Raw genomic sequence first — 15,771 nt, forward strand, 5'->3', positions numbered from 1 at the left:
TCTGCCTGTGGGTCTGTGTGTGGGCTGGGGAGCACTTTCAAATCACAGGCAGTTCTCACATCTGTCCTGGCTTTAACTTTCAGCTGGACCCTCTTATGTCTTCTTTGTGTGTGTATGCCCAGGCTCTGTGGCCCAGGAGTGTGCAGAGGTTAGGAGACTGCCCTAGTGTTGGTGACACATGTGCAGAGTCTCTGGTTAACCTGGGATACATGTGGAGAGTTTACCCAGCACACTGTAAGTGGCTCACCTACCAGAACTCCCTAGTAAGTCCCTGGCTAGTCTTCTAGTCTCTTGCTTGCCCTCAGCAGGACCTCAGCCTCAGGCGGACATTGCCATTGATTTTCTTGAGTTCTCTTGCTATTGGGATTGCCAGTTTAACTGACTGTGCTCCAAATCTGGTGAACCTGGCCTGGCAAAAGCAGTGAAGTTGCTGCTTTTCCCAGCTTTCCCCTCTTGGTTGAACCCTGGCACTGACAGAACTGGGATAGGGAGACAGGAACAGCCCCGGGCAAAAAATGCCAATGTGCTAGTCTTACCTGCAGTTCAGTACTTTCCACGAAGAAATGCCCCTCCACGTGTATACGGCTTTGGGTGATTGCCAGAGCGCTGACAGTGGTGGTTCTTGACAGTTTTGTGTGGCTTTATGGTTGCGTTTTGTGGAGAGGATTTGTCACTCCTCACTTTGTCCTTGCTGCATTTCCTATGAATGTGTACCATTCTGTCCTCCTGTGGACCGTGAATGTGGACCATGCTGTCCTCCTGCAGCAGGCAGTGTCCTGGGCCCTCATAACATCAAGTTGCACAGTGTGTTTTGACAGGCCTCTTACTTAAGACTGCATGTAGAGACCCATCAAGCTGGCAGAAAATCTAGATGCTTTTTAAAAGATACAAATAGTGTGATGATTGTGTTTTTAAAATACTGTTGCAGGCATTCTGCATATTTAAAATCCCTACTACTGATGCAAATGTTAGTTCACTGATAACCTTTTTTTTTTTTTTTTTTTGAGACAGAGTCTTGCTCTGTCGCCCAGGCTGGAGTGTAGTGGCGCGATTTCGGCTCACTGCAAGCTCTGCTTCCCGGTTTCACGCCATTCTCCTGTCTCAGCCTCCCAAGTAGCTGCGACTACAAGAGCGCCACCATGCCCGGCTAATTTTTTGTATTTTTTTTTAGTAGAGACAGGGTTTCACTGTGTTAGCCAGGATGGTCTCGATTTCCTGACCTTGTGATCCGCCCGCCTCAGCCTCCCAAAGTGCTGGGATTACAGGCGTGAGCCACCGCGCCCGGCCATGATAACTTTTATATTTAAACTTCTATAACTGAAAGTGTGGTTTAGTGGGGGAAAAAAAGCAAGAGTTTGGAGTTTAGAGTTGTGGGATTGGGATTGAATCCTGGTACAACTTACTAGGTCTGTGATTGACAGAATGTTACTTAATCTCTCTGAACCTGTTTTCTCATCCTAAATTGGATATAATATTCCTACCTTATGGGTTATTTTGAAAATTAAATATAACATAGATAAAACTGGTACTTAGTAGCTATTCAGCAAACGTTTGTTTACCCACCCAGAAAGTTTGTGGTTGTGGGTGTGTTTTTGGCAACTTTTTCTTCACCAGATTTATCTTCTTGCTTTACCTAGCTTTGCTTCTTAACGTTTTCTCCTTTTTGTAGAATAATTTTGCTATTTTATATACTAACTGAAACATACAGTGTATTTCTTTCAGGGTACATTTTGGTTGAATGCTCTTCCCAGATATCCAAAATTTCCCAACATTTCATAGTGATTTCCTTTCTAAAGTATAAATTTCATGTGCTTACAAGTGATGATGAAACTTCACTGTTATTTTACGGTGAATGAACTCATATGTAGACGGTCCCTGACTTAACCAATCGTTTGTCTTATGATTTTTCGACCCATACAACCATTCTGTTTTTCACTTTCAGTACAGTATTCAATATGTGAGATATCTAACACTTTAGTATAAAAGAGCCTTTGTATTAGATGATTTTGCACAACTGTAGGCTAATATAAATGTGCTAAGCACATTGAAGGTAGGCTAGGTTGTTACAATGCTTGGTAGGTTATGGTGTATTAAATGCATTTGACTTATGATATTTTCAATTTATGATGGGTTTATCAGTTCATGACCCCATTATAAGTAGAGGAGCATGTGTGTGTGTGTGTGTGTGTGTGTGTAAAAGATTATCAGGTGGAACATCTGTACAATGAGAGACAGTAGCATTGTTATGTCGACATTCTCAGGCCATGATTAGAAGGGGCAAAGCAAGGTCTCTAAGAGAGATTATCAAAGAATGTACTGAGAAACGTTCTTGAACCTTGCTGGACCACAGCCCACTCTGCTCAACCTCAGCGGTTCTCTTCTGTGATATTTAAGTTAATATGGAAGAAGTGGTAACTTTGGTTACATCAGGTTTTAATGTCACCTTTAGTTTTGGGGTGGACACAACTGGACTCCAGTATGTCCAAACCCTCTTAATAATACTATATTTTCATAGAGTTTTTAGAACTGAGAATTGTATAGTTTATCTTACTATTTTACTTACTGACAGAGTACCTTATTCTAGAATACTTTTTAAAAAAATATTAAGTTTTTAAAAGCCAAATCTCTAGACACTTCTTGTTCCTTGGAAACCTTCTTGTCTCCTGAAGAGTACATTTGTTGTGGATAGTGTGTTCCTCAAGAGTAATTCTTAAACTAGTTGGATAGGTTTAAATTTCGCAACATAGGCATTGCAGAATTTAGACATACAGGAAATCAGGATTCAGGGCTCATTTGTTGTAAGGTGAAATCAGGAAGTCTCTGGTTAAAGATTGGATGGGATTAAGCAGACGTTTTGTAGGCAGTCTCTTCACCCTGAACTGCAGCCGTGTGCTGTCTGGAATGCGGTCTGACTTAATAACCCACCCATGCCAGTAACATACATGATAGAGCAGAATTGCTGTAGTTAAATAATGGATTTTATAAACATTAGATAGTCTTTTAGCACCTGCATTTTTTTGTAAGAGTCAAGCAAGAAGTTATGTATGTATGCATTTTGGTCTGAATCTTGTACTTTTGTTAAACACTGATATAAATGTGTCTCTTGAGGCTGGTCTGTAACAGATTTATAAAAATGATTACTGTTTCTTAGGCTTTAAAAATCATATTTTTGGCAACCGAATCTATGAGTTTTATTAAGTAAAAGTTTAGACCTTTTATTCTTTGCAGATTGGATAATTTTTCTTGTACACTTAGCAAATGTTTGATAAATAGCCCTGCAAGGCACTGTGCCTGCTGAGTGCTGTGGAGGTTACCTGAGTGACTCTGGCATACATTGTAGCCTCAGCGACCCTGACGCTGCAGTTCAATAGGAGAGTTAAGACAAGCCCAAAACTGTAACAGCTGCAAAGTGATAAGGGCTATGGAACAATGAAAACTGTCAGGAGAGACTGGGAAAGGAGAACAGTGTTTTCTGATTCCATGTGAAAGCTACCCCCTCAACCCCAAGAATTCTCTTTACTTTCTGTGCCCACATTGAGCTAATTCTCTAAGTCCCAGTTTCGTAAAACCTATGCATGTATTTCTGATTTCTTCTCATTGTGGGTACTTGAAAGAGAGGAAAAAGGAATTTGGGGTCAGAGACTTGGGTAAGGAGAGTAACCTGGTCAAATAGTGTGGTTTCTTGACCTGGGCGTTGTACCAGGCTGTGTGTGGCATCCTGATCTGACATGCCACTGAAACAGCCTGGAAGTGCAGGATCTCAACGAAAATGTAGTTGGAAAAATAATGCGGGTAAGCTTGGGGCTGGCAGCATGTTAGAATTGGGAAAAATACCATTTGTGTAAATCAAGCGCTTGGTACCAGATGTATGAAGAGCTACTGACACCTCATGGATGTGGATGTTATTATTTCTGGTTACGGAAAGTGTGTATGTGTATGTACCAGGATCTATATATGGTGGGTATATGCACATGGTCTTGGCTAAAATTGATCTATGAGTTTAATCTGTGACAGAGAAAGCTGTTCAGTATATTCCTCAGTTGCTTGAAAATAAACTTGGAGTGTATCTGTTCAGGAGTCACAGATTAATCTTTCTAAGTGTATCCTGATTTGTCTGACAGAATTCTGCAGATAGGACTTACTGGAAGTGAAGAGCAGGTGTCATGTAAATGATGCATTATCTTTTTCAAGTTTAGATGCATACTGTTTGAGGAAAAAACTGCAAGCATGCTTTTTCTTCTTTTTTAATGAAATAAGAATAGTTCAGAGTGGTGGAGTGTCAGGACCCATTGATAGGTGGGTCTTTCTAGAAAAATCTAATTTCAATGAAAAATTACACATAGTACATTTTGCTTTTTATGTATTCCTTGTACTCTGAACCTGTGTGTGTATATCAGCAAAATTTGTTGTTTCTGAAATGTACTTCTAAAGTGAATCTTATTTTTTAACATTTAATCGTTTTAGAATTATTTGTATACCCACATAAGCAGATACATAAACAGGGAAGGATCTTTTAAATATGATGTTGGGATTAACGGAGTGGATGTTTGGAGGGGAAAGTACTGAAATTCATCCCACAAATCAACATACATTTTCGAGTAGATATGTAGAAAATCAATATATAGAAAGTAGGAAATATAGAAAAACATTGAGATTTCATTCTAGGGCTTAGAGAATTACAGTCCAGAAACAAAAAGCATGACAGATAGAAAAATATAAACTGCTTATTTCAGAACTAGTATGAAAAAGGTAGCCTTTTCTAATACGTAAGAAAAGGTACAATAGGTAAATGGACAAAGGGAATTACAAATGCTAAAGTATTATATGGAAACATCGTTCTCTGTAATAAGAAAAAATGGAAACAATGTGGAGACAATTTTTATTTACCCACGCATTTGCTATTTTAAAGAAATGGCACCCAGGGCTGCTGAGGTTGTGTGGAACAAGTATACTCATTTATTGCTGATGACATAGTAGAGCTTTAAAGGGTTTTATGTCTTGAAATTTATCCTAAGGAAATAATTCAGCTGAAGCAAAAAGATATTTGTTCAAAGAGCTTGATTTTGGTGTTATCTTTAATAGCAAAACAGTAGAAGTGCCTTAAATGCCCTTCAGTGCAGACTAATAAATTGATCTTATGCTCTGGCAGACATTAAAAATGATAATTTTTGAAATCCTGTGGAAACATGAAAAATGTTCATTATATGTAAAAATCCACGTATGTATAGGATATACAATTGTATGGTCTTTGTGGAAATACTTTTGTTAGGGTGACAGCAACATGAGAATTTTAAGTAATTTCAGGCATCAATTGAGCATTTACCCTGTGACTCTTCAGTTAATTCATCAATCTGTGTTCTGAGCACTGCTGTAGGCTCCAGGGATGCACAGCCCCTTGGGTGATCTCTGTGGTCCTGTAGGCGGACACATAAGCAGCTAACAACACAGTATGAAAGAGCAGCTTTCTGGCTGAGTGCTGTGGCTCACGCCTGTAATCCCAGTATTTTGGGAAGCTGAAGCAGGTGGATCACCTGAGGTCAGGAGTTCGAGACCAGCCTGGCTAACATGGGGGAACCCCATCTGTACTAATAATACAAAAATTAGCTGGGTGTGCGTGGTGGCGCACGCCTGTAATCCCAGCTACTTGGGAAGCTGAGTCAGGAGAAGTGCTTGAACCCGGGAGGCGGAGGCTGCAGTGAGCTGAGATTGCACCACTGCACTCCAGCCTGGGCAACAGAAGATTCATCTCAAAAACCAAAACCAAAAACAAACAAACAAAAAACAGCCCTCCAGAGAAGATGGTGTGGAGGCTGGGTCTTGGAGAATGAATAGGAGTTGGCCAGATCATTTGGGTGGAGGCTGGCTGAATGGAGGCAACCATGGAAATAAAGTAGTGACGTTCAAGTTTTGGAGGATGTGGATATTTACAAGGACCAAGTTATCTCAGGGTGACCTTAACAGTCAGGAGCAGTGATGGAGGGGACGGAGTGGGTGTTGAGGCCCGGGTCTTGGAGTGGGTGGGTGTATATCGTATTTTGGTTGGAAGAGGAGTGCCTCATTTTCACTTCTTGCAGGTTTTTCATCTTTCAAAGTTCAGTATGTATTATTTGTCTTGTTAATCATGCCACATTCTCATAATTTTTGAGCACCTTTTTTGGTTGCCTGGCTATTTAGTAAACATAAGTGTAGAATCAAAAGAGATGTTTGTCTGTGTCAGTTTCTTCGTGTGTTTGCTACTGTGGTCATTCATATATTGATCAGCGATGATTTTCCTGAGACCGTTTATTGCATTGGTGGCAAAAATTAGATTTTCTGACTCCCAATCTGTGAAACCATATTCCTTTCTGCATTTTATTGCTGGACTGTAGGTTATGTTGAATATAAACATATTTGTGGATAATGTAGTTGTATGTGGCTGAGAGGTTGCACTGGATATTATGGAAAAGAATTTTGTATATGAAATAGATAGTAGCAGTGAGTGTTTTCCTGTTTTCTTTTTAAATGTTCTTCAACAGGGAGAATGAAATCTAAATGATAATTCTGTTTATTGTTTTTTCCTTTTTTTTTGTAGGGTCTTGCTCTTTTGCTCAGGCTGGAGTGCAGTGGTGTAGTTGTAGCTCACTGCAACCCCAAACTTCTGGGGACAAGCTAAGGCTTGTCCCCTTCCTGCTTTAGCGTCCCGAATAGCTTGGACTACAGGCACATGCCAGTGTGCCTAGCTACTTTTTTTTTTTGGCGGAGGGGAGGGGAGTTCCTCACTTTGTTGCCCAGACTGGTCTTGAACTCCCAGCCTCAAGTGAACCTCCTGTGTTGGCCCCCCAAAGCACTGAGATTACAGGCATGAGCCACCGCACCTAGTCTGTGGTTTTTCTTCTTCTTATTTTTAAACATCCTGTGCAGAAAAAAATTAAGGAACCTGATGTATCTGTTAGACATTAATACCGTGCAAATTCAGTATGTTTTAGTGTTTTGATCTATTGATATCCTTTCTATTGAAGGCAAGGAACAATAGTTATTCGGGGCTTTATTAGATTTTATTTAATGCTTTCATAAAGAAGCACAGATATTACTATTTATCAACTGTAATTTTTAATATTTGAGAACTATATTTTGGTGTAATTGTTTTTTTAATCCTGTGTATTTTATGCATTTTAAAACATTCTGAAAAGGGGTCCATCAATTTGGCTAAACTGCAGAGGCATACAGGGTACACAGAAAAAGTTAAGAATCATCCTCTGGATGGGCGCGGTGGCTCACGATTGTAATCCCAGCACTTTGGGAGGCTGAGGCAGGCAGATCACGAGGTCAAGAGATTGAGACCATCCTGGCCAACATGCCGAAACCCCGTCTGTACTAAAAATACAAAAATTAGCTGGGCATGGTGGCATGCACTTGTAGTCCCAGCTACTTGGGAGGCTGAGGCAGGATAATTGCTTGAAGCCAGGAGGCGGAGGTTGCAGTGAGCCAAGATTGCGCCACTGCACTCCAGCCTGGGCGACAGGGCGAGACTCCATCTCAACAACGACAACAACAACAACAACAACAAAGAACCAACAACAACAACAACAAAGAACCACCACCACCACCACCAACAACAACAACAAAGAATCATTCTCCATTCCCCAAACCCTAAAGCCAGGAAGGGAGTAAGATTAACTTTAGAAATTAATAAATAGAGTTTTGGATCTCTACTCTGCCTTTTAGGAGCTCTGTGGATGGGACGTTTTACTTCTGACTGTCATTCTCTGTGTTATAAAATGAGTATAATATATCTGTCACAGATTTGTGATGAGAGTTAAAATGGACACTTTATATAATATACCTGGCAGAGTAACAGGCACATAGAATGAATGTTGTTACCCCTTTGGTCCTTAGTCTTATCATGAACTAGCTATGTCCTTAGCCAAATTACTTACCACTTTTTGATCTTTGTTACCTATTTATCTACACTGAAAGGATTTAGATTTGTATATTTCTACTTCAGCTAAAAAAAATCTGTGATTATGTAAAAAACCAGGATTACCTTTTTCAAATTGGAATGCTTGGTCAGCTAAGCTTTTATTTTGTTGATTAAAGACATGCATATATCAACAGGCATTGTCTTTTGTGTCCATGCCACCTAACTTTTCTCTACCAGTTTTCTCTCATTAAATGTTTGTCAGTCACATTTGGTTGAAACCATGCTGTTTATCCAACGTCATGACTTAAAGTAAAGGACAATTTACTTAATTGTCTTAAATACCAGTCAGAGCCATGTGGAAGCTATGCAGGTAAACAAGCCTCTTTTTGGGGTTGGGTTGTAGGAACCCTGCCTTAGGTCTAATGAAAGTGATATTCTTGTGTATTTTCAGGGGTCATCCTCTGTCCTTACCTTCAGTTCCAGTAGCTCTTTAAACCTCATTTGTTCTATTGACGCCAAGTTGGTTAGAAGGTCATAGCGTTGGTTTGTGTGTAGGAGGTTAGAGGGAGGTCCTGGCAGAGGCTTATAATCAAGTAGAAGCGTAAAGCCAGAGTTCTTGATTGCAAAGAGTAGAAGTAGCCTCTTTGACTCAGGGAACGACCTCATTGGAAGGGGTGTCAGGTTGCTGTCATAACCCCCAACACAGGTGGATATCTGTGTTTAAAAGACAGTGAGGAACAAGGGGAAGAAGCTATGCAGCCAGGACAGGGGATATCACCACCCATGAGCAGCCTGGATCTTGGATGCTGCCTCCACAGGGAGCACTGGACCCCTGTGAGCACCTGCAGTGGTTCCCTGGCCGGAGTTCAGGCAGGGCGGGCATCTGGCCTGGCTGCCCTGCTGAGCAGGACTCAACAGCAGTGGAGTCCCCAACTGTGGGGCGAGGATTCTGATGCTGGGCGGTCGAGGGGAAATGTAAGCCCAACAACAGATGAAGGTTTTCTATAGATGGGCTCAGCAGTTGTTGGAACTGCTTATTATCTGTGTATGTGTGTGTGCCTGTGTGGGCGTGCATGCATATGCCTGCATTTTGGAGAGGAAGGGATCTGGGCTTTTATCAAAGTCCTGAAAGGTCTTTTGATCCAGGAGTTAAGAAACACTGTAATAAAGAGATTTAACTGTGTTCGAATCTTTGCTTTTCCACCAGGTGGTGCAAATCTTTTATGATGTTCATAGAGGTTAAATCCTCAAAAATAAGAATAATTTAAAATTGTGTAATTTTCTCTAAGAGTTTAGTCCTGTCACACAATGTGAAGCATTGTTGATCTGATTCTTGCTTTCCTTCTGTCTTTAATAAAGATACAGGTAGATTTACATATCTTTTTAAATACGTAACTATAGATCTAAATTATCTGTAGATTTTTGAGGCTGTACTACTGTTTTGTTTTTTGTAGAAAGAAACTGCAATGACTGGGAAAAACAGTAATATATTCAATATATTAATTGTTTCACACACTCTTTGTGAAACACCCAATTCTGATAACTTTTTGCTCAATGCATATAACTTGTGTGATTTAAATTTTTGAAGATAAAACTCATGTCATGTTGGTCAGTGTATTAGGCCGTTCTTACATTGCTATAAAGCAGTACCTGAGACTGAGTAATTTCTAAGAAAAGAGGTTTAATTGGCTTATGGTTCTCCAGGCTGTACAGGAAGCATAGCACTGGCATCTGCCTCTGGGGAGGCCTCAGGAAGCTTCCAATCATGGTGGAAAGTGAAGAGGGAGTAGGCACATCGCATGGCAAGGTGGGGGAGTGAAGAGTGGTGGGGGGGACGTGCCACACACTTTTAAACAACCAGATCTCAGGAGAACTCACTCTCACGAAGACAGTACCAAGCCATGAGGGGTGTGTCCCCATGATCCAGCCCCACCTCCAGCATTGGGCATTACAATACAACATGAGATTTGGGTTGGGACAAATATCCAAACTATCAGTCGGTCTGTTTGTCTCTTTTTCTCCTCTGAGCTGTTGACAGTTTGCTCTCTCTCCTGCATCTTTCTGTTTTTAGAAATAAATAGCCAGCCGGGCGCAGTGTGGCTCACGCCTGTAATCCCAGCACTTTGGGAGGCTGAGGCAGGCGGATCACAAGGTCAGGAGATCGAGACCATCCTGGCTAACATGGTGAAACCCTGTCTCTACTAAAAATTCAAAAACACTAGCCGGGCATGGTGGTGGGCACCTGTAGTCCCAGTTACTTGGGAGGCTGAGGCAGGAGAATGGCGTGAACCCGGGAGGCGGAGCTTGTAGTGAGCCGAGATCCCGCCATTGCACTCCAGCCTGGGCGACAGAGCGAGACTCCGTCTAAAAAAAAAAAAAAAAAAAAAAAAGCCGGAGAAAGTGGGTTGCTAATATGGGCTACTGTATACATTACATTCTAGCTTACATGTTTTTTTTTTTTTCCTTCCCCCCAACTTAAGAATTTGGTGTAGACATCCTTCATGTCCTTCAGGTCATTACATGCAGATTTTAATTTGTTAATTTGTTACATCATCTCTAGTAAGAATTTACCTAATTTAGTTATTTCTTTGATAGAACAAATTAATTGTTTGTTTGTTTGTTTTGTTGAGACAGAGTCTCGCTCTCTCGCCCAGGCTGGAGTTCAGTTGCTTGATCTTGGCTCACTGCAACCTCCGCCTCCCAGGTTCAAGCAATTCTTCTGCCTCAGCCAAGTAGCTGGAATTAAAGTTCCATGCCACCATGCCTGGCTAATTTTTTGTATTTTTAGTAGAAACGGGTTTTCACCGTGTTAGCTAGGATGGTCTTGATCTCCTGACCTTGTGATCCGCCCGCCTTGGCCTCCCAAAGTGCTGGGGTTATAGGTGTGAGTCACCGTGCCTGGCCAGTTTTGTTTTTTATTTCTTTTCAGTTTTGCTTTTATTTTTGCCATTACAAACGACTGCAGTAAACATCCTTACATCCTTTGTACATAGATTGTATTTGTTAATATTCGTACGCTTTTTTTTTTTTTTTTTTGAGACGGAGTCTCGCTCTGTCGCCAAGGCGGGACTGCGGACTGCAGTGGCGCAATCTCGGCTCACTGCAAGCTCCGCTTCCCGGGTTCACGCCATTCTCCTGCCTCAGCCTCCCGAGTAGCTGGGACTACAGGCGCCCGCCACCGCGCCTGGCTAATTTTTTTTGTATTTTCAGTAGAGACGGGGTTTCACCTTGTTAGCCAGGATGGTCTCCATCTCCTGACCTCATGATCCACCCGCCTCGGCCTCCCAAAGTGCTGGGATTACAGGCGTGAGCCACCGCACCCGGCCGCTTTTTTTTTTTTTTTTGAGACAGAGTCTCCCTCTGTTGCCCAGGCTGGAGTGCAGTGGCCCGATCACAGCTCACTGCAGCCTCAGGTCTCCCAGACTACTGAGATTATAGGTGTGTGCCCCCATACCCTATCTTATGCTTTTATTTTTATAATATATATTATTTACAGTGATTCTCTCAATCTATATTTTAGTTCTATTAGTGGTGCCTTTATTATACAGAATTTTAAAACTTTTTTGTAGTTGAATCCGTCAACATGTTTTCTATTCTAACCTGCAATTATACAAATAGCCCTTCTAAAGTTTCTTCTAATATTTCTAATAGAAATAGGTTTAGTTTATCAAATATTTTATTGATTCCAAAATATGTAGTTTTTTAAAAAACTTTCATATATCTGAAGTTATTTCTTATAATAGTGTATCATAACTTAGCTAATAGTACTTTTTCTTTCAGTGATACATAAAATAATGGTTTCTGTTATAATTGATGTTTTGAATTCAGCGTAATTGGTATTTCTTGCACTTAGATCTTTAATCCATTTGTACTTATTTTTGTGTATGTCATGAGGTTATGGAGTCCATTTTTCCCCCTACAAATAAAGCCGATTTCTCAGTGTTGTTTACTAAATGAAGAATCTTTTCTCGCAGAATTGCCATGTAGTAACTTCTGATATATACTTTGACTCCTGGCCTGATCCACTAATTTATTTGTTCCTGTGCTATACTCTTTTGACAACAGTGGTTTTTAGTTCTAAATTCCAAAAGGGTAAGTTTGCCTTCACTGTACTTTTTTATTTTAAACATTTCTTAATGTTTACTTGAAATACCCTAACTTTTGATTCTCAAGTCTCTGTTTTTACCTACTCTCTTTACTTACAAAATGAGTTGATCCAGGCAGGCATTTTATGTGATATTTATATGCGCATGAGTGCTCATGTAATGGCATTTCTCCTATTCCCACTTTCTAAGTGAAAATTTTTTTTTTTTTTTTTTTTTTTGGAGACAGAGTCTTACTCTGTCACCCAGGCTGGAGTGCAATGGCATGATCTCAGTTCACTGCAACCTCCACCTCCCAGGTTCAAGTGATTCTCCTGCCTCAGCCTCCCAAATAGCTGGGATTACAGGACAGGCTCCTGCCACCACAGCCAGCTAATTTTTGTATTTTTGGTAGAGCCGGGGTTTTACCATGTTGGTCAGGCTGGTCTCAAACTCCTGACCTCAGGTGATCCACCTGCCTCAGCCTCCCAAAGTGCTGGGATTACAGGCGTGAGGCACCGTGCCCAGCCGTGTAATTTGTTTTTTAAGAAGGTTCATGATTTTCCTGGATTTGTTCTTAGCTCGGTGGCACTGGTGGCTTCAGCATCAAGTGCAGAAGTTCTCGTTGAACCGACGCTGATCAGCGTCCCCTTGCTGTGTTGTTCGTGGCACTTCTGTAATTTATGTCTAGAGACTGTCTGGGTTTTGTGGGATTTCTAGCAATTTTAGTGTCTCTGTCCTCTGATGCCAGTGGCACTCCAGTCATTATGATAAAAGTTTCCACAGAGTTTTGCTTCAGAGTAATCTGAGGGGTGGATCTCGGGTGTGGAGGAGTATATGGAGAATTGTTGAAGATGGGGAGCGTGTGAATGTGTGGTTATTCTGGGCTCTCTTTTTAAATATACATTGGGAATGTTTATGTTTTTCAAGGCCCTGCATGTGTAAATGATGCTTTCTATGGGGTGAGCCTGCCCGTGTGGAGACCACTATCTTAAAGCCGTGAATGGCACGGCGCAAATGGGTTTCTGGGCTCCTGAATAAGAATTCTAAGTGAATCTCCACCACCCCCATAGAACGCTGTTTTAATCAATTATTGGGTTCTGTGTTAATGTTTTACTATTTTAGGGATCAATTTATGGACTTTTATGGACTGGTCAAGATAGCAACCAAATGTATAATTTTTCCTAAGGGGGAAAATATATTCTAATTTCTAAACAATAATATTTTCAGTTGAATTTTAAAACAGCAGTTTTTTTTGTTGGCACCAAAGGGTACCTTGGGAAGCTTTCCTTTCCCCACCCCTCACCATCCTATCGCCCTGTTAACGCCCCTCAAAGCAGTCAAAGCCAGCGCACCTGTGTACAGCTGAGGGCTTGCTGTCCCCCACTCAAAGCCAGTGCACCTGTGTACAGCTGAGGGCTCACTGTGCCCCCCTCAAAGCCAGTGCACCTGTGTACAGCTGAGGGCTCACTGTGCCCCCCTCAAAGCCAGCGCACCTGTTTACAGCTGAGGGCTTGCTGTCCTCCACTAAAAGCCAGTGCACCTGTGTGCAGCTGAGGGCTTTCTGTCCCCCATTCAAAGCCAGCACACCTGTGTACAGCTGAGGACTTGCTGTCCCCCACTCAAAGCCAGTGCACCTGTGTACAGCTGAGGGCTCACTGTGCCCCCCTCAAAGCCAGCGCACCTGTGTACAGCTGAGGGCTTGCTGTGCATGTGTGTTTGCAGTGAAGTGCCTCAGCCAGTTCCTCCTTCCTTCTCCAAGCTGACTGGACCCACATCCCTCCTGTGTAGACATTTTGGAGCCTCCGCTGTGATGCTTGCCTGTAACCCATCAATAGAGCTAAGTCAAATTTGCTTTTTAAGAAGGTTCATGTTTATTTTCTGGTTCTAGGGCTTCTGTGGCTATTTAGATGAGTTGTTTAGAACACTAGACTAATGAGATCACCAGGGTGATGAAACATTGTGTGGATCTTGGCTTTCTTCTAGCACAGTCAGCTCTGTTCCTAACCCTCGCCATCTACTGGGCATTTTTATTCATATGCTTGATCAGAAGTTGGCTTGGGTGAATGTGTGTGTGGATCCAAATACATCCACCGTTCATCTCAGAGAAGCAGCTCATCACCTGGGTCCTGGGAGGGTGCCCTGTATTGCTCACTGGATGGAGAGGCAGGGCAGCTTTATTTCACACCAGCTATTGGCTTCTGATACGTTAGATTCACCTGAAAGGAGGGTGGAGCATGGTGGGGTTTATGTTAACATGCCAGGGCAGATGTATTTGTTTGTATATTTCCTTTAACATCTCATGAGTTGGGCACATTTTTAAAGGTGCTGTTAGGGTAGAAAGGAGGCCCAGGACCACTGTGCTGCCAGCTTTAGAATACATTGTGAATGGTGTCTCCTGGGATTGTGCAGTGAGCACAGCCTTGAGATAGCCCATTAATTTCTTCAGTAAATGCATGTTGAGTTAATGCTTGGTAATGAAGTGTACCCTGCTATGTTAGGGAATGTTTGTTAGAGGTGATTGATTGTAACCCACTGGTGCCATGGAAGATATGTTAGCATGGTGATTTTAGCACATAAATGCCTCTGGTGACAAAGCTCAAACCTCATTTATTAAATGACAATTAAAATTGCCTTATAATTTTAACAATGTATGCCTGTTAAAATGTTCTCCATCACATCTGCAGTGGTGAATACGTGCCTAATAAAAATTTGATAATAACGAATAGTCCCAAATATTTGGAAGCCAATAATTGTCTTTATGCTTTATAATTATCTTTAAAATTCTACCCATTTGAAATCCACCTGTTTATATTTCTAATACTTGAAATTTTTTTGTGAATGAATGTGAGTCTGAAAAGAATGTTAAGTATCTTCTTTGAAATGTCAAGTGAAGAGATGAGATTCATGTAATTTAAATCACCCACAATTCACTGGGAGAAATTTTTAAATAATTTTAGCAATATAAAAACTAATGAGAAAAATTACACCTTGATTGTTTTAAGTATCTGAATTACCTTTGTAGATTTTATAGACTTTATGTTCAAAAAATAATTTTATGTGTTTACAAACACTTTGATATTCTAAACTTGAGTAGCAGTCTAAAAATTAACCATATGGTAATATTTTGTCTGTGTTATTAGGGATAATGGCCAACATTTATTGAGTTCTTACTGCATTTCTGGACCTGTTCAACTCTCATTACCACATTTAACCCTGCAAAAAAAGTCTTGTGGCACACTGCTATGTTCATTGTCCCCAGTTCAGAAAGAGGAAAGCTAAGGCCTATAGAAATGAGAAGCTGCAGCCCCCCTAGAAAGTGAATGTCAGAGCAGACACTGGAGTTAGAATCCTGGGTTGCTGGCCAGGTGCGGTGGCTCACGCCTGTAATCTCATCACTTTGGGAGGCTGAGGTGGGTGGATCACGAGGTCAAGAGATCGAGACAATCCTGGCCAACATGGTAAAACCCTGTCTTTACCAAAAATACAAAAATTAGCCAGGCATGGTGGCGCGTGCCTGTAGTCCCAGCTACTCGGAAGGCTGAGGCAGGAGAATCACTTGAACCCAGGAGGTGGAGGTTGCAGTGAGCTGAGATCGTGCCACTGCACTTCAGCCTGGTGACAGAGCGAGACTCTGTCTCAAAATTAAAAAAAAGAATTCTGGGTGGCCTCATCCAAAGCTTTACACTTCTTCTTACTGCCACTACACTGTGTGTGTGTGTGTGTGTGTGTGTGTGTGTTTGAGATGGAGTCTCGCTCTGTAGCACAGGCTGGAGTGCAGTGGCGTGA

General features: G+C 41.5%; 1 protein-coding gene across 16 annotated transcripts in view, besides 3 other annotated features; it reads left to right on the forward strand.

Annotated features, from left to right (window-relative positions):
* HIVEP1 (HIVEP zinc finger 1) overlaps window positions 1-15,771 on the forward strand; it is a 204,356-nt gene that overhangs the window by 23,462 nt on the left and 165,123 nt on the right. The gene's annotated exons all lie outside the window — the stretch shown is intronic.
* Window positions 3,242-3,536: a silencer, noted in NCBI's record as "tiled region #4667; K562 Repressive DNase matched - State 5:Enh". NCBI's record gives its function as "represses a minimal TATA promoter and a strong SV40 promoter by Sharpr-MPRA in K562 cells {active_cell/tissue: K562}" and the evidence as "EXISTENCE:reporter gene assay evidence [ECO:0000049][PMID:27701403]".
* Window positions 5,146-5,647: an enhancer, noted in NCBI's record as "H3K27ac hESC enhancer chr6:12036533-12037034 (GRCh37/hg19 assembly coordinates)". NCBI's record gives its function as "activates a minimal SCP1, AML or CMV promoter by ChIP-STARR-seq in naive H9 embryonic stem cells {active_cell/tissue: H9 hESC(naive)}" and the evidence as "EXISTENCE:reporter gene assay evidence [ECO:0000049][PMID:30033119]".
* Window positions 5,648-6,147: an enhancer, noted in NCBI's record as "H3K27ac hESC enhancer chr6:12037035-12037534 (GRCh37/hg19 assembly coordinates)". NCBI's record gives its function as "activates a minimal SCP1, AML or CMV promoter by ChIP-STARR-seq in naive H9 embryonic stem cells {active_cell/tissue: H9 hESC(naive)}" and the evidence as "EXISTENCE:reporter gene assay evidence [ECO:0000049][PMID:30033119]".

Source organism: Homo sapiens, chromosome 6 (assembly GCF_000001405.40).
Source record: "Homo sapiens chromosome 6, GRCh38.p14 Primary Assembly".
In the NCBI taxonomy this organism is placed as follows: Eukaryota; Metazoa; Chordata; class Mammalia; order Primates; family Hominidae; genus Homo; species Homo sapiens.